The sequence below is a fragment of the Homo sapiens genome, chromosome 4 (genome assembly GCF_000001405.40).
Source record: "Homo sapiens chromosome 4, GRCh38.p14 Primary Assembly".
NCBI classification, from domain to species: Eukaryota; Metazoa; Chordata; class Mammalia; order Primates; family Hominidae; genus Homo; species Homo sapiens.
Window position 1 is genome coordinate 127,905,393 of NC_000004.12, and position 18,780 is coordinate 127,924,172.

Below are 18,780 nucleotides of genomic sequence, written 5' to 3' on the forward strand. Positions count from 1 at the left end.
CAGGTACAGTCACTCATGGCTTCCCTTTGCTAGGAAAGGGAAATCTCCCAACCCCTTGTGCTTCCTGGGTGAGGTGACATCCCATCCTGCTTTGGCTCGCCCTCCGTGGGCTGCACCCAGTATCCAACCAGTCCCAATGAGAAGAACTAGGTACCTCAGTTGGAAATGCAGAAATCACCCATCCTCTGCGTCGATCTTGCTGGGAGTTGTAGACCAGAGCTGTTCTTATTCCTTAATGAAATATTTTAACACTGAAGAACTTGATGCAATTAATTGACATGATGAAAAAATATGTGATAGTGGGATAGCCATTCCTAATGAAGGAATAAGAATAGAATGAAACAACTTCAATATCATAAAGACTGTTTAACCTAATGTGTCCTGCTGGTTTTTATAATCAGAAATATTAGAGCTGTTTCTTTTAAGTAGACAAGTAGACAATGTTATGATTATTCAACATTGTTTTGGAGGTTTTTGCCTCAGACAATAAGGAAGAAAAATAATACTTATATTTGCAACATAAATTGCAGAACTGATATTAAACTACCACCATACCCCTCTCCCAGAGAAAACCAGTAACAGAAAAAAGGGGATTGAAGGAAATTTTCTGTTGTCACACAGTAGAAAAATGGACAAGACATATGAATTGATAGTTCACAAAGGAAGGAAGTCCATATGGTCAATAAAAAGGAAATATGCTCAACCTCATAAAAGTTGGGGAAATGCAAAGTTAAAGCAAGATAATAATTTTCCTTTATCAAAGAATGGGTTTAAGATTAAGTAATAGCCCAGTGCAGTGGCTCATGCCTGTAATCCCAGCACTTTGGGAGGCCAAGGCAGGCAGGTCCCCTGAGGTCAGGAGTTCAATACCAGCCTGGCCAACATGGTGAAGCAGTGTCTCTACTAAAAATACAAAAATTAGCGAGGTTAGGTGGTGCACGCCTCTAATCCCAGCCACTTGGGAGACTGAGGCACGAGAATCTCTAGAACCCGGGAGGTGGAGGTTGCAGTGAACTGAGATAGCGCCACTGCACTCCAGCCTGGGTGACAGAGCAAGGCTCTGTCTTTAAAAAAAAAAAAAAAATTGAAATAATAATGCTCACAATATGTATAAGACATTCTCAGGTGTTGATTAGGGTGTAAATGATAACTGTGAAAGTAATATGGCAGTATCTATAAGAATTACCACATTGATAATCCAACTTTGGGGAAAGGAAGGATGTAAGCCCTTAGAGAAAATATGATCAGTAATAACAATTTCCCTTTAAAAATTGAAATAAAATGCCAGGCACAGTGGCTCATGCCTGTAATCCTAACACTTTGGGAGGCCAAGGCGGGTGAATCACTTGAGGTCAGGAGTTCAAGACCAGCCTGGCAAACATGGTGAAACCCCATCTCTACTAAAAATACAAAAATTAGCTGGGCATGGTGGCACACGCCTGTAATCCCAGCTACTCGGGAGGCTGAGGCAGGAGAATTGCTTGAACCTGGGAGACAGAGGTTGCAGTGAGCCAAGATCATGCCACTGCACTCCAGCCTGGGCAACAGAGCAAGACTCTGTCTCAAAAATAAATAAAATAAAAATGGAAATAAAGTAATCCCGAGCTAAATTTTATTTTATTTTATTATTTTTTTTAGACGGAGTCGCCTTCTGTCACCCAGGCTGGAGTGCAGTGGCATGATCTCGGCTCACTGCAACCTCTGCCTCTCAGGTTCAAGCGATTCATCTGCCTCAGCCTCCCAAATAGCTGGAATTGTAGACATGTGCCACCATGCCCAGCTAATTTTTGTATTTTTAGTAGAGATGGGGTTTCAACATGTTGGCCAGGCTGGTCCCGAACTCCTGACCTCAAGTGATCCACCTGTCTCGGCCTCCGAGAGTGCTGGGATTACAGGCGTGAGCCACCGCACCTGGCCTGAGCTAAATTTTAAAGGCCAATGACTCAAAACATACATTTCTGCTTTGACAGATGTTAACTAGTATACTTTTTATTATCTCTTCGTCTTTATGAGTGAGTCTATTTTTTAAGTATTTTTCTTATACATAACATATAGCTAAATTTTATTTTGATTACAATTTAATAACTTCTAATTTTTACATATATTGTTATTTCTGGCTGTCTTATTGTCATTACAGTTCTATTTGGATTTATGTCTAGCAATTAATTTTGTGCTTTCTAGCATGTACTATATTTTTGCTTTGCTTTTCTTTTTTTCCTGTTACTTCTTTCAAGCTGAGTTTCCTTTAATCCCCTTTTTTCTCTCTACTCGTTTTCTCTGGGGGAGGGGTATGGTGGTAGTTTAATATTCAATGTTTATATTACTGTGACTATGAAAATATTCATAGCTCCGCCAGGCGCAGTGGCTCACACCTGTAATCCCAGCACTTTGGGAGGCCAAGGGAGGCGGATCACCTGAGGTCGGGAGTTCGAGATCAGCATGACCAACATGAAGAAACCTCATCTCTACTAAAAATACAAAATTAGCCAGGCATGGTGGCACATGCCTGTAATCCTAGCTACTCTGGAGGCTGAGGCAGGAGAAACTCCAGGAAGCAGAGGTTGCGGTGAGCCGAGATCGCACCATAGCATTCCAGCCTGAGCAACAAAAGCGAAACTCCATCTCAAAAAAAAAAAAAGAAAGAAAAAGAAAAAAAGAAAATACTCACAGCTGAACTATGTACTATGCTAGAATTATATTTCTTGAACAATTTTTTTTCTGGAATTCTTTTGTTTTCTCTGATATGTCAGGTAATCTGTCTGTGCTTTTTTGTTGATCCATTTATCCCCTCTTTTGGAGACATCTCTCTGCTTTCCTTTTTCTACCTGGACTGGTTCCTTTGTAGTTTTCCAGTGTAGGAATGTACAGCAGTTTGTTTATATGTTATACTGTTGATGGACATTTGAGTTGTTTCCAGATTTTGGCTGTAAATATATACTTTATGAACATCTTCTGGTGCAGCTACATACAAGTTTCTCTAGGATTTTACTGCAATGAATTTAGTAATCTTACGATTTGTGTATGTCAAACTTTAGTAGATAACGCCTAATTTTTTTACACTTCCATTTGCAGCATATAAAAGTATATTTTGCTTCACATCCTCGCCAGAACTTGGTGTTAGAGTCTCTTAAAATTATTGCCAGTTTGATAGAATAGTGTAAGGCCAGGCACATTGGCTGTAATTGTAGCACTTTGGGAGGCAGAAAGGTAGCTTGAGGCCAGGTGTTCAAGAACAGTGTATCAATGTGGTTTTAACTTGAATTCTCCTCATTACTAAAGAGGTTGAAATGTTAAATGTTTATTAGATATTTGTCTTGTGATTTGCCTGTTAATATCTTTTGCCTATTTTTTCCTATTGTGTTGTCTGGCTTTTTCTTAGTGGTTTTTAAGAGTTCTCAGTATGGGCTGTGCGCGGTGACTCACACCTGTAATCCCAGCACTTTGGGAGGCCAAAGCGAGCGGATCACGAGGTCAGGAGATCAAGACCATCCTGGCTAACACGGTGAAACCCTGTCTCTACTAAAAATACAAAAAATTAGCCAGGCATAGTGGCGGGCGCCTGTAGTTCCCGCTACTCGGGAGGCTGAGGCAAGAGAATGGCATGAACCGGGAGGCGGAGCTTGCAGTGAGCCGAGATCGCGCCACTGCACTCCAGCCTCGGCGACAGAGAGAGAGACTCCGTCTCAAAAGATAAAAAAAATTAAAATTAAAAAATAAAAGTTATCAGTATGTATCCTTCGTTTATTGATATATGTTGCAAATATCTTCTCCCTTTCTATGCTTGTCCTTTTTTAAAATATATATATATTTCTAAAATACTTTATTAACACGTATGTAAGGAAAACATGTTACCAATGCTAGAAGACATCCTCCTTAATTAAGTTGGCGAGAGGTACCACATTCTCCACAGGCTGGATGGCGCCAGTGGATTTTGGCAGATTTCACTGGAGAAAGAAAATGCCAGGCTGACAACCTTTATATTCCTTATGGAAGACGTTGTTTTGTAAAATTCCCATTTGGGACAATATCCATCTCTGAGATCTTTCAAAGGAAGCTCACAAAGTATCCCAGAGGATAACTGACACGGAGCTAAACATGACATGGGAGTGAAAACAGTTATCTGTTTTCCTAGTGAGCATGATACAGGAAAATTAGCGTTTGGGACAAAGATGACATTTCTAAATGATTGGATCAATCAGTGCAACATTAAACCAAATTTAGAACAGATAAAAACTAAACAGGCAAGATGAAATGCACAGAAGGCACCAAGTACACATTCTTCATAGATAAAAACCTCGAACACTTATGAAAATCTTTATCAGTTCTTAAACATATTGCTAGGAGCATAAACATATTGCTCTGTGTATCAGAGAAGGTCACTATTTCATCATAATTGTTTCATAAACGTAGGACCAGTTCTTGTTTTCCAGTAACAACAACAACAATAATAGGAATAATAGCAGCCAATATTCATTGAATGATTACTACACACCAGGCATTTCTCTGAGAACTCTGTAAATTGTCTCTACCTATCTGTGTATAGGCTTGTCCTTTCACTCTCCTAATAGTATCTTTTGATAAACAGAAGTTCTTAACTTTAATATTATCCAATTATGCAATCTTTCTTTATGGCTAGTGTTTTTTTTTTTTCTATTTCTTTCTTTAGTTACATACAAAGTTGCAAAGATATTCTTCTAGATTGCCTTCCAAAACATATGGTTTGTTTTACTTTCATAAGTGTATAATGTGGAAAGTTTTTTGTTGTTGTTGTTGTTGTTGTTGTTTTTTGAGACGGAGTCTCACTCTGTCCCCAGGCTGGAGTGCAGTGGCGCGATCTCGGCTCACTGCAAGCTCCGCCTCCCGGCTTCACGCCATTCTCCTGCCTCAGCCTCCTGAGTAGCTGGGACTACCGGCGCCCGCCACCACGCCCAGCTAATTTTTTGTATTTTTAGTAGAGACGGGGTTTCACCGTGTTAGCCAGGATGGTCTTGATCTCCTGACCTCGTGATCTGCCCGCCTTGGCCTCCCAAAGTGCTGGGATTACAGGCGTGAACCACTGCGCCCGGCCCAACCAATCAGCTTTTTAAGTCCTTCACTTAAAAGCTATTTTATTATGGAAAGATTCCTACAAATATAAATGGACTAGCATGATGAGCCCCCATGTAACCATCACTCAGCTTCAATAGTTAGCATGTGGCGAATCTTGTATCACTTGTACCTCATTTTATCCTCTCCCAGCTAGATTATTTAGAAGAAAATCCTAGGCATCATACCATCTCATCCCACCACAGCCTCTTAAGTAGCTGGGACTATAAGCACATGCCACCATGCCTGGCTCTTTGTATATTTTTAGTAGAGATGGGGTCTCGTCATGTTGCCCAGGTTGGATTCTAGTCTTCTTAGTTTAAAAGAATTTAAACAAGAGACACACAGCGAAGGAGATGCAGCATAGGGCAATTTATCGGAAAGGAAAAAGAATATTTCGAAAGTTAACTGCAGAATAGACAGCACACCCTAAAAGAGAGAGGATCCTGGGCATGCTGCTCATAAGGATGAGACAACATTGATTATTGCTAAGGAGGTGGAAAGAAGTGTTACTAGTAAGCATGTTCTGAGTGACGTCCTGGCTGCATATGTGCAGTAGCTGTACGTGCTCGTTCATATGTTCCATGTCTCATTAGCATCTTAAATCTCCATGCAGGGTTGTGTTTTTCACTCTTATAACAAGCAAAGGGTCAGTTTGAGGACAGGCAAAATCAAAATCAGGGAAAATTTCCTACTGAAGATTGCTTTGCTTGAATGAGCGTTAACTGCAATGCGAATGCTGAGGCTTATCATGTCGCCACATTTGCCATGCCCCACGGACATTGTCACTTCCTTGACTACCTATCCTGCCTTATAACTACGATCCATTTCCAGAACTTTTCATCACCCCAAATTCTGTACCCATTAAATAACAACTTCCCATTTGCTCCTCTGTCTAGCCCTTGGTAACCTCTGTTCTACTTTCTGTCTCTATAAATTTGCATATTCTGGGTACCTTGTGTAAGTAGAATCATACAATGTTTATACTTTTTTGTCTGGCTTATTTCATTTAGCATAATGTCTTCAAGGTTCATCCATATTGTATCATGTATCAATATTTAATTCCTTTTTTAGGCTGAATAATATTCCATTGTATTTACATACTGTACCATGTTTTGTTTATCCATTCATCCACTGATGGACTCTTGAGTTACTTCCACCTTTTGAGTATTATAAATATCTTTCTTTAGCTTTTTGTGCTGGGTACATAATTGGTTTATTTTCTACTGTCATTTTTATTGATATAGATATTTAATGTTACTCATTTTCCTCTGAAATCTGTTTTAGCTGCATCCATTCTGATATGTTATCTTTTCAGTATTATTTTTTCAAGAAATTCTGTGATTTCAGTTCATATTTCTTCTATGACCTAAGTTTGTTACAAAGCATGTTTTACAAATTAATTTTTAAGGAAGTGTCCAATATATACAGAAGTAGATGGGATAGTATAATCTATCTCACTGTACTAATCACTCAGCTTCAAAAATTATCAAAACTTATCAATTTTATTTCAATATCTGCCCATTTCCTTCCTGAAACTGTATTATGTATTGCTTGGCAATGGGGTTATGTTCTGAGAAATGCATCATTAAGTGAGTTCATTGTTGTGTGAACATCATAGAGTGTACTTACACAATCCTAGATGGTATAGCCTACTACATACCTAGACTATATGGTATAGCCTATTGTTTGTAGGCTACAAACCTGTACAGCATGTTACCGTACTGAAGACTGTGGGCAGTTGTAACACAGTGGTAAGCATTTGTGTATCTAAACATATCTAAACATAGAAAAGGTACAGTAAAAAATGTGATATGAAAGAAAAAAATGGTACATCTGTATACATCTGTGTACACTTACCATGAATGGAGCCTGCAGGACTAGAATTTGTACTCAGTGAGTCAGTGAGTGAGTGGTGAGTAAATGTGACTATACACTTAGGCTGTACTACATTTATAACATCTGTTTTTTTTTGTTTGTTTTTTCTTTTTTTGAGATGGAGTCTTGCTCTGTCACCCAGGCTGGAGTGCAGTGGTGCGATCTTGGCTGCAACCCCTGCCTCCAGGGCTTATATGATCCTCCTGCCTCAGCCTCCTCAGTAGCTGGGACTACAGGCGCGTGCCACCATACCCGGTTAATTTTTTGTATTTTTAGTAGAGATGGGATTTCAACGTGTTCACCAGGCTGGTGTCAAACTCCTGATCTTATGTGATCCACCTGCCTCGGCCTCCCAAAGCACTGGGATAACAGGCATGAGCCACCACGCCCGGCCGAATTATACTTTTCAGAATTCGTTGTTTCATTGCTTTGGTATTCTTTTCCAAGATTTATATGTACGTTAAATCATCTGTGCCTAGTTTCTACATGTATTGCTTTCTCACAATAATTTTTTATTTTATTTTTATTTTTTTTGAGACAGAGTCTCACTTTGTCACCCAGGCTGGAGTGCAGTGGCGTGATCTTGGCTCACTGCAACCTCTGACTCCTGGGTTCAAGCGATTCTCCTGCCTCAGCCTCCTGAGTAACTGGGATTACAGGCGCACGCCACCATGCCCAGCTAAATTTTTTTTGTATTTTTAGTAGAGACGGGGTTTCACCATGTTGATCAGGCTGGTCTCGAACTCCTGATCTCAGGTGATCTGCCCACCTCAGCCTCCCAAAGTGCTGGGATTACAGGCATGAGCCACCACACTCAGCCTTATTTAAGTTATTTTGATTTCCCCTCATCTTTTATTTTCTTATGAAGTTATTTGTGATAATTAAATCACTTTTGTGTTCCTTTTAATTTGGTCTTCATGCCTAAAATTGTTTTTTAAATTTCTTATTCTTTCCTGAGCTCTCCCAGCAATATTTTCATATCTTCCTATTGTCTGTCTCATTTCTGCTTCCTTTTCTTTTTTTTTTTTTTTTTGTTTTGTTTTGTTTTGTTTTTTGAGACAATCTTGCTTTGCTGCCCAGGCTGGAGTGTGATGGCACAATCTCAACTCACTGCAACTTCTGCCTCCCGAGTTCAAGCAATTCTCCTGCCTCAGCCTCCAGAGTAGCTGGGATTACAGGCGCACACCACCAGGCCTGGCTAATTTTTGTATTTTTAGTAGAGACAGGGTTTTGCCGTGTTGGCCAGGCTGGTCTCAAACTCCTGACCTCAAGTGATCCACCCACCTTGGCCTCCCAAAGTGCTGGGATTATGGGCGTGAGCCCCCCTACTTGGCCACATTTCTGTTTTCTAATTACGATTTTCACCTTTCGTCAAGTTTCCATTACCTAATCATTTATTTTAGCTCATTTAAAATGACATTCGGTTCTTACCTTTTAAAAAATTTTTATTTTTCATTTGTTTTAGAGACAAGGTCTGCCTCTGTCACCCAGGCTAGAGTGCAGTGGCATAATCACAGTTCACTACAGCCTTGAACCCCTGGGCTCAAGCAATTCTCCCACCTCAGCCTCCAGAGTAGTTAAGAATACAGATGTGTGTCCACAATGCCTGGCTAATTTTTAAAAAAGAAAAAAAACTTTTTGTAGAGACAGCATCTTGCCGTGTTGCTCAGGCTCACCAATCTACTCTCTAACTTCATGAGATTCGCTTTTTTTTTTTTTTTTAGCTGATATTTATCTTTCTGTGCTTGGCTTATTTCACCTAACATGATGACCCTCAGTTCCATCCATGTTGCTGCAAATTACAGGATTTCATTCTATTTTAATGGTTGTGTATATACATTTCTTCCCACCCCTCCCTCCCTCCCTCCCTCCCTTCCTTCCTTTCTTCCTTTCTTCCTCCCTCCCTCCCTCTCTTCTTTCCTTCCTCCCTCCCTCCCTCCCCATATTTTATCTCTCTCTCTCTTTCTCTCTTTTGTTTTCTTTTTTTGACAGGGTCTTGCTCTGTCACCCAGGCTGGAGTGCAATGGCACAATCTCAGCTCACTGCAGCCTCAACCTCCCAAGCTCAAACGATCCTTTCACCTCAGCCTCCTGAGTAGGTGGGTTACAGGCATGTGCCGGCATGCCCATAAGACATCATATAATTTCTATATAAAAATTTCAGTATGTATCTTTAACGAATAAGAATTTTTTAAAAGCACAATATTCTCACACACCTCTAAATTAATAATTCTTTAATATCATCTAATATTTAGCCCAGCTTCAAATTTTTCCAATTGCTTCAGAAATATCTTTTTTACATTTGGTTTGTTTGAAATAGCATCCAAAAAGTCTATATAATGCATTTGATTTATATGTCTCAAGTTTCTTTTCATCTGAATCCTGTCTTCTCAACCTTTCCATGTCCTTCCCCCGCCCCCATTTTTAAAGTAACTGGATCATTTGTCCTATAAAATATATCACCTTGGGCCTGGCGCAGTGGCTCACATCTGTAATTCCAGTACTATGGGAGGCCCAGGCAGGCGGATCACCTGAGGTCAGGAGTTCGAGACCAGCCTGACCAACATGGTGAAACCCCCATCTCCACTAAAGATACAAACAAACAAAAATAGCTGGACGTGGTGGTGGGCACCTGTAATCCCAGTTACTTAGTAGGCTGACGCAGGAGCATCGTTTGAACCCAGGACTTGGAGGTTGCAGTGAGCTGAGATCGCACCACTAAACTCCAGCCTGGGCGACAGAGCAAGACTCTGTCTCAAAATATATATATATTTTTTTATGTTATATATATTTATATTATATAATATATATAATATTTTATATATATATCACCTTCTGGATCGTAATTACTTCCTGGAGGTGACATTTAACATGTTTTTTTATCCTCTATATATCCAAAAACTTGTAGTTTATATGTACAGGCTTGGTTAGATTCTGGTTCGATATTTTGGGCAGGACACTTTCACAGATGGTGCTGTGTACTTCCTGCTCTATCAAATCAAGAGGCACATAATGCTAATCCCACTTTTAATGATGTAAACAGTGCTCAGTGTCCAACTGTTGTCAGCCTCAACCATCCTTAGAAAGTTCCTCATTAATCTTTCACCTAATAGTTTAAGCATCCATTGATGAGTGTTGCTCATTATTTCACTAGAGGTTGCTAAATAGAGATTTTTCCATTATCCCCTCTGTATTTATCGGCCTGGATTCTTCTACAGAAAAGAACTTTCCTTCAATATTTGTTTACCCTGATGTTTAGGTACAGGAGAGGCAGAATAGATGCTTCATTCTTTATTTTCTGGGTTTTGCTGTTGTTGTTGAGACGGAGTCTCACTCTGTTGCCCAGACTGGAGTGCAGTGGCACGATCTCAACTCACTGCAACCTCTGCCTCCTGGGTTCAAGCGATTATCCTGCCTCAGCCTCCTGAGCAGCTGGGACTACAGGCACACGCCATCACTCCTGGCTAATTTTTTGTATTTTTAGTAGAGACAGGATTTCACCATGTTGGCCAGGCTGGTCTCGAACTCTTGACCTCAGGTGATCCTCCCGCCTCAGCCTCCCAAAGTGCTGGGATTACAGGTGTGAGCCACAGCTATTTTCTGGTTTTCAGAATAAAGAGTGAATGCTCTAGAAGCCTCCAAAGGTGACCAACAAGTTTCTTATTTTTAATATCATTTTGAATTCATGGATTTTCACACATTTGTTTAAATTAACAACAGATACTATTCTTTATGCGTTAATTACCCCATTTTTTGGCCTACTGGCCACTTTGAGTCCTCTGTCCTTTTGGCAAGATTTCAGTAGTCTTTGATAACTTCCTTGCTTTCTGGCACAATAAATGTCTCCAGCTCTCCTTGCCCCAGACCTGAAACTAGCCATGTCTACAAGATGCCCAGTATTCTTTTAAGAGAAAATGTTACCTTAAATACCTTCTCACTTTTTTTTATTTTTTTGAGAGGGAGTCTCACTCTGTTGCCCAGGCTGGAGTGCTGTGGTGTGATCTTGGCTCACTGCAACTTCTGCCTCCCTCTGCCTCAGCCTGCAGAGTAGCTGGGATTACAGGTGCCTGCCACCACGCTGGGCTAATATTTGTATTTTTAGTAGAGTCAGGGTTTCACCATGTTGGCCAGGCTGGTCTCAAACTCCTGACCGCACGTGTTCCACCTGCCTCAGCCTCCCAAAGTGCTGGGATTACCGACATGAGCCCCATGCCCAGCCACTTTTCTTAAATAAAGTCCAAAATACCTAATATGGAACAGTACCATGCTTTTAACATTGGTATATCACAAATAAATACTTGTTATACTTGTAGACGGTAATCTGATCCCTTCTGAGCTTGGAGGTGATTCACAGGGCCTGCACTGGCTAAAGAAGCTGGGTACAAATGGTTTCATCCATTTCCACAGTGGGGCATATAATATTTCCTATGAGTGCAATGATGTGGAAACAGCTGGGAGGGGTAGTGGGGATATATTTTTTGTCAGCAAACCTTTCTTTGGTGGAATCTCCTTTTCATTCAGTTATGTCTGTTTAGACCATGTAATTGGGACGAGCTCCACAGGGTTCTTCCCCTCCTCCCTCCCACATTGCATTTCCAGAATGGATGCGTGATCTATATCTGGGTTAGTAGAGGAGTCTATCCTCATGTGGTCAATTCAGGGATGTGTACATGAGCTAAACTTGGCTACTTCATATTTTTTCTGGTACTACTACCCAAGCCATTTTTCTCTAGAATTGTGAACTATAAGGATGTTGTGTGCCTAGGGCTGCCAGTGGTCCTCTTCCTACAAATATGGACAGCATCTGAAAATAAAGTCAAGCAGAGACATGTAGAACCCAAAGAAAAGAGTCCTGATGACATTTGGATTCTAGCTCCAACCATGCCTAAATAGAACTCTTAAACTCTTAGTTGCACAAGAAGTCTTAATACCTGGGGCCTGCAAGGCCTTGCATTGTCCCTTTATAGACTCAGCTAAAATTAGGCTTCTTCTCAACCACTATACTCCACCCAACTTGGACCTATTTTTAGTTCTGTGAAAGCTCCAAGATCTTCCCACCTCCAGGGCTTTGTACACACTGCCTTCTGCCTGAAAAGTACTTGTCCCACTCTTCACCAATCCAAATTTTCTCTTCCACTAGGTCTTGGCTAATCATTTCTTCTGGAGAAACATGCCTGACTCTCCTGTTCAGGTCAGGTTCCCTGTTAATCATATTCACCCTCATAGCTCCCTATGCTTCTCTCTCATCACCCCTCCCTCAATCATAATCATCTGTGAAATCATCTTGTGAATATCTGACTTTCTTGCTGGTACATAAGCCTCATGAAGGTCGGAGCTCTGTGTGTTTTGTTTACCGCACAATCCCCCAAATGACATTGTAATTGGCACATAGTGGGTACCCCCTTAAATATGTACTGAAAGACGACTGAATAAAGTTTTAAAGCTTAAGGTACATATGCAAAATAATCTTGTTTATTAGAAAATGAACATTCACAATGTAAAGTAGAAATTAAATTACAAATAAGTCTTCAATGGTCAAAAATGGTGCCCAGAATTTCTTCTCAAAATAAGTTAATCTATTCTTAAACAGATGCAGGTAAGTAGTTTATCCTTGTCAAAACAAAAAATTAACAGATTTCACTTTATGTAAGAGATAAGGTTTATATGAACAAGAAGAGTTTATTTTTAAATGTAAAGCTGAACAAGATAGAATGGAGATGCTTTGTGAAGTTATAAATCCCTTCAAAATATGAAAATCATCCTTTCAAGTTTAAATTTGTTTTCAAAAACATATTTTCTCTTCTTAAATATGTACTACTCTTAACAATATATCATACCTTAAAATCTCCTGTTGTCATTTTCTCTTTATACGCAACTTGGCCTACTCAAGAAGACATCAACATGGTGATTTTTTTTCCTCAAACTTTATCTCCTTGCTCTTTTCCCAATCCCATGTTACTTCCTTTCGCCTTCTTTTGTGCCAAGATGAGCAAGGTATAATCCTCCAAAGAAGAAAATGCTCCAAAGAAAATGCTCTCAATAAAAAGGAAAGTAAGAGTCATTTGTGTAAGGTTAAGTTTATCTAAATTTTAATCAATATTATAAACCTTTGAAAGCTGGGAAACTTTTTTCTGTTATATTCTTGCTGGAAACAGGTTATTATGCTAAGACAAAAGCTCCAGTCAGTGGGCTTATGTTGCCCAAATATTTCTGCTAGTAGGACTCACTGGTATAGTTAAATTACCCTACAATTAGTGATTAATTGAAACTGCAACTTTCTGGGATATTTTCCTCACTATGAAAAATCAAGTGGTTAAGACTGTGGACTTTAAGGATAGACTGTTACTTAGACAAGTAACTTTTCTGTGCCTCCATTCTTTCATCTGTAAAACGGGAATCATAATAGTATTTTCACTCCATAAGACTGCTGTAAGAATTAAATTGTATGTTACACATTACCTGGAATGTGGAAAGCACTCCACAAATTTTGCTCTTATCATTTTCATCATTACCATTATTCTTGTTATTTTTGTCATGCACACTATGCAAACCAAGGGTAGAGTTTACTCTTTAAGATTAGACGTGGCCCAAAAAATGTAAGACAGAGAAAGCAGCTGCAGAATAGCAGGTAAGAGGGATCCCAGACTTGACCAAATAGCCAGAACTGGCTACGGTTCTGAGAAATCTATGGAAGCAGTCTTGCTATGGGCGGCAGAGGAGAGTGAAAACAGTCTTCAAAATTTAATCGTAGAATAATTCTATCAAATTAAGCCCTTTATTAGAGCTGAAAAAATTGAGTTTAAGAGCACAGCTAGTTTAGCATAAAGTGCAGATTATACAGTTTTAAATTTTTGTTTTTATTTTTTGTAAAGACAGGGTCTCACTTTGTTTCCCAGGCTGGTCTTGAATTCCTGGCCTCAAGCAATCCTCCTGCCTTGGCCTTCCAAAGTGCTGGGATTACAGGCATGAGACACTGCACCCAACCTATAAAGTGCAGATTATATAGTGTTTATTCTCAGATTTGAAACTATTTCTAACTTAAAGTAGAAAACATTTGGAAAAGTGTTTAGAAATATTTTTGCATTTTCTTAACAGTGCTTATCAATATACATAGTTATCTACTAGTTCCTTTTATCAGCATTCAACTTATGTAGAGGTAGAAGTTAAACATACAGTGTTATTTAGCCAACTTCAGGTAAACTCAGTAAATTGTTAGATTAAAGCCATTTTGCCTCAAATACTTATTAGCCTGACTAGTTTGGGGCTGTCAGGGATCATCCAAATTAAAAATCCAACTAAAATTCTGCAGCTCTACACAACTATGCAGACATAGATTGAAAACTGTTGTGTTCCTCCCCGCCACTACTGAGAGATGGGAAAAATTAAAGTAAATTAATTAATGTTTTACTAATTAAATGTTTTTCTCCAGTTTAAGGGGGTTGAAAAATAGCAATAATTTTAAGAAACCATTTACTGTTTTGTATATATATATATAAAATAACACATATCTGGATTATGTTTCTAATGTGAATTTTTGGCATTTGAAAGAAAGTAGGTATCCCTATTAGGCTAATAGGCAGTGAAGTATCTTGATCTCTTAATCCTCTGTATTGCTCAAATATTAGCATTATCCATACTCATTTATTAATGTAGGGGTTACTTAGTGAAACCCTGAACTAAAATAAGGCAGAGGTGTAGTATTAGAAGAAAGACTCATAGAAGGCAAGGTAGGATGTTAGGCACGCTAAATGGAAAATATGTGTTATAATTTTTATTTCATAAGTGAACTTGATAATAGAAAATGCATTTTTTTATAAATAAAAAGTAGGTGTCTGAATAAAAATACCTCTACTTGGGTAGAGGTATTTAAAATTCTATAATTTTGTTCTGCTATGGCTAATTCTTACAGAACCCTCTTTCTGGTTCCACTGTATATTATTTTAATGACACTTCTGCAGTGGGTATTAAGAATACAGCTTCACATTTATTCATCATTGTCCATTCACTCATTAGTTCATGCAACCACAAAAAGGTATTATAAGAATAATATTTCATTTCTGAGGTAAGGAAATTATCATCTAGTATGTTTTTATATAACCTACTATTCACAATGACATGTAGAATTCTCTCTGTTATTCAACATATGTTCTTGTTCTTCAAAATCTGCAATATCTGTAGTCTGATTCTTGGAGACTGGCTCACCGCAATTGTCTAGCAGAGCTTTAGACCAGGAAGTGCCACACAGCAAGTAGTTTCCATCACAGTCTTAGCTAGTTTATTCCTGAATCCTCCCATATCTTACAGAAAGAGCAATGAGTCTTTTGTAAACCACTCCCAGGAGGGTGATGGTGAGCACTATTATTCCACACACCAGGCTGAATGCCCATCGTGGTCCCCAGTGAGCATACACTTGGCTGATGAACATAGGCCCAAGAATCCGGGCTCCACTTCCAGATGCTGTTAACCAGCCCATGTATACACCCTGTTGGGGGTGAAATGGAGGACAAGCAGATTGATATTGGGGTTTAGTTATTTAAAAGCAAAGAAATGGTATTACCAAACTACAGCAAACTTACAAGAATCATTTCTGCATCTTTTACTTTTAAATTAAACATAAAATGCCTCCTATAAATATAGCATTTAATATTAAGTCAGATTAAAAAAAATAAAAGGAGTGTAAAGGGAAAAACTTACTGTCTGCTGAAGCCCTGGGAATAATAAAATTGATTAAAATACCTTTTAAAGCTAACATTTATTTTGTACCTGCTACATGCCAGTCACTGAGGTAGGTGCTTTAAATACATCATTTGTAATGTTCACAAGTTTCGATGACAGGTGTTATGCCTGTTTAACAAAGGTAGAAGCTGAAACTCAGAAAGTTTAAGTAACTTGTTCAAGAGGTTTGAAGCCATATTTGGCTGACTCCACTGTGCCACTTTACACTCTACCACAATGCCACTCCTACAACTTCTGTATCCAAAACTATAACCCACATAACCTACCCAAGAATGAACTTTATAGAAGTTGTGGGATTTTTAAAAATTTTAAATGCTGAATATGATAAAAATCCCTCAAATCAGTCTGTGTAAAAATAGAGAATGGCAGCAAAAAATGTTGAGTGCTTACAAGTATATTTTCTATAATTGCAATGTCAGGGTACCTGGCTTACCTGAGGTTTTGGTCCTAGAATTTTTGAATATAGAGTATAGGACATAAGATTGCAGACTGGATAGCCTAATCCTATTAGCACAGCTGATGTAAGGAACTGGGCCAGATGAATCACCGGGGTGTAGAGGCACCAGGCTTGTTCAATCGAGCAACCAGTTGGTCTTTCATTGTCATCTTCCATTGGAGACTTCCAAAGACCAATAATAATTTCCCCAAATGTGGTATTAGGGATTGAATTATTGTGCAAATCTGTAAAAACAAAACCATTGCAGTGCATTACTTGTTGATTTTAGATAAATAACAGAGGTTAACATTATAGAATTATGTATGGCTATACCTTCCCACTGTATTTTGGGAAATTGATTTCCCCAAGGTAACAAGATAAAGAAGCCAACCCATACAACGATGAGTCCTCCCAGTAGAATAGCACGCTCGCCAATCCTGTTAAAGAACAGAAACTCTGTAATTTTAAAATGAAACATTATAACATAGCTTCATTACTTTCATAATTTTAAAAACTAAAAATAATATCTTGTACTTTTAGTGATATATCCATTAAAAAGAATGCTAAATATAATTTTCCACTAAAAATAACCAGGACTCCTCTGAAAAATGGCTGACTTAAGGTCTGGGACACAAAAAGTAGATGAGCTCAGATCTTTCACAGCAAAAAGCACAGAAGTTATCAGTGACTACTAGGTCATGAGTCTTTTTGACTCAGCCAATTTGAAGAAGCTGGCCAAAAATGTGACAATGTGAGTACCAAAACAGAATAATAATGGCAATGGATTGAAACACACAAAAAGTATTATCATCTGTGGCCTGGTGTAGTGGCTCACACCTATAACCCCAGTACTTTGGGAGGCCAAAGCGGGAGGACTGCTTGATGCCAGAAGTTCAAAACCAGCCTGGGCAACATAGCAAGACCCCATCTCTACAAAAAATTTTAAAAATTAGCCAGGAGTGGTATTTGGTGCCTGTAGTTCTAGCTACTTAGGAGGTTGAGGCAGGAGGATTACTTGAGCCCAGGAGGTCAAGGCTGCAATGAGCTGTGATGGCACCACTGCACTCCAAACTGGGTGACAGAGCAAGACCCTGTCGCCAAAAAAAAAAAAAGTGTTATAATCTATGAATTCATAGTATATTAAAATAAAGTACTCTTTGGTCAGTTTTTGAGGATGTTAGGGAAACAAAAGAAAATAATCAAGCCTTTATCCTGCCTTTCCTATACAACTATAGCTCAGGTTAACCAAATAGTTGGTGAGGGAAAGATTCTCTTCATGGTAAGTATTCTAGCAAATAAATAAAGGAATGATAGAATTAAAATACCAGAATTTTGTAATGATTCATTAATGAATTAATGGATCTATGGAATAATCAGTGGCTACTTACATGTTAAGAAGAGATAAACAAAACATTATATTTCTTCTGATATAAGCACATATTCCCACCTATAAAGTATTCTTGCCAAAAAATTGAACCCAAATTTCATCAAGCTTCTAGATGCAAGTACTAGTTTTTAAGAAATACAGCAATCATGTCATCTGCAAACAGAGGCAATTTGACTTTCTCATTTCCTAATTGAATACCCTTTATTTCTTTCTCTTGCCTGATTGCCCTGGCCAGAACTTCCAACACTATGTTGAACAGGAGAGGTGAGAGAGGGTATCCTTGTCTTGTGCCGGTTTTCAAAGGGAATGCTTCCAGTTTTTGCCCATTCAGTATGATACTGGCTGTGGGTTTGTCATAAATAGCGCTTATTATTTTGAGATACGTTCCATCAATATCAGTTTATTGAGTGTTGTTAGCATGAAGGAGTGTTGAATTTTATCAAAGGCCTTTTCTGCATATATTGAGATAATCATGTGGTTTTTGTCATTGGTTCTGTTTATGAGATGGATTACATTTATTGATTTGTGTATGTTGAACCAGCCTTGCATCTCAGGGATGAAGCAGATTTGATCGTGGTGGATAAGCTTTTTGATGTGCTGCTGAATTCAGTTTTCCAGTATTTTATTTTTTATTTTTATTTATTATTATTATTATTATTATTATTATTATTATTATTATTATTTGAGACAGAGTCTTGCTCTGTCGCCCAGGCTGGTATGCAGTGGCGTGAACTTGGCTCACTGCAAACTCCGCCTCCCGGGTTCATGCCATTCTCCTGCCTCAGTCTCCTGAGTAGCTGGGACTACAGGTGCCTGCCACCACGCCTGGCTAATTTTTTTTGTATTTTTAGTAGAGATGGGGTTTCACTGTGTTGGCCAGGATGGTCTCGACCTCTGACCTCGTGATCCACCCACTTCAGCCTCCCAAAGTGCTGAGATTACAGGCGTGAGCCACCGCACCTGGCCTGGGTTTGCCAGTATTTTATTGAGGATTTTCGCATCGATGTTCATCAGGGATATTGGCCTTAAATTTTTTTTGTTGTGTCTCTGCCAGGTTTTGGTATCAGGATGATTCTGGCCTCATAAAATGAGTTAGGGAGGAGTCCCTCTTCTTCTACGGTTTGGCATAGTTACAGAAGGAATGGAGTTTCAGAAGGAATGGAAACTTTGTACCTCCAGTAGAATTCGGCTGTGAATCTATCTGGTCCTGGGCTTTTTTTGGTTGGTAGGCTATTAATTACTGCCTCAATCTCAGAACT

The 18,780-nt window shown here is 39.0% G+C and overlaps 1 protein-coding gene across 20 annotated transcripts in view, besides 1 other annotated feature; it reads right to left on the reverse strand.

The window, feature by feature from the left end:
- Nucleotides 5,206-5,375: an enhancer, noted in NCBI's record as "experimental_73859 CRE fragment used in MPRA reporter constructs". NCBI's record gives its function as "activates a minimal promoter by MPRAs in K562 erythroleukemia cells, with activity observed for the non-introgressed 4:128831838 variant allele {active_cell/tissue: K562}" and the evidence as "EXISTENCE:reporter gene assay evidence [ECO:0000049][PMID:34662402]".
- The window catches only part of MFSD8 (major facilitator superfamily domain containing 8), a 48,232-nt gene continuing 41,791 nt past the window's right edge, over nucleotides 12,340-18,780 (reverse strand). For 9 of the 20 annotated variants that reach the window (NM_001410765.1, NM_001371590.2, NM_152778.4 and 6 more), the window contains 3 exons: nucleotides 16,468-16,571; nucleotides 16,132-16,379; nucleotides 12,413-15,444 (listed from right to left, as the gene is read on the reverse strand). In NM_001410765.1, coding sequence (NP_001397694.1) covers nucleotides 15,238-15,444; nucleotides 16,132-16,379; nucleotides 16,468-16,571 — 559 coding nt within the window. In that variant the 3' untranslated portion in view covers nucleotides 12,413-15,237. Of the gene's footprint in view, nucleotides 16,380-16,467; nucleotides 16,572-18,780 lie in introns of all 20 variants that reach the window. The other 11 variants (XM_024453982.2, XM_047449993.1, XM_047449992.1 and 8 more) reach the window with 4 other exon arrangements.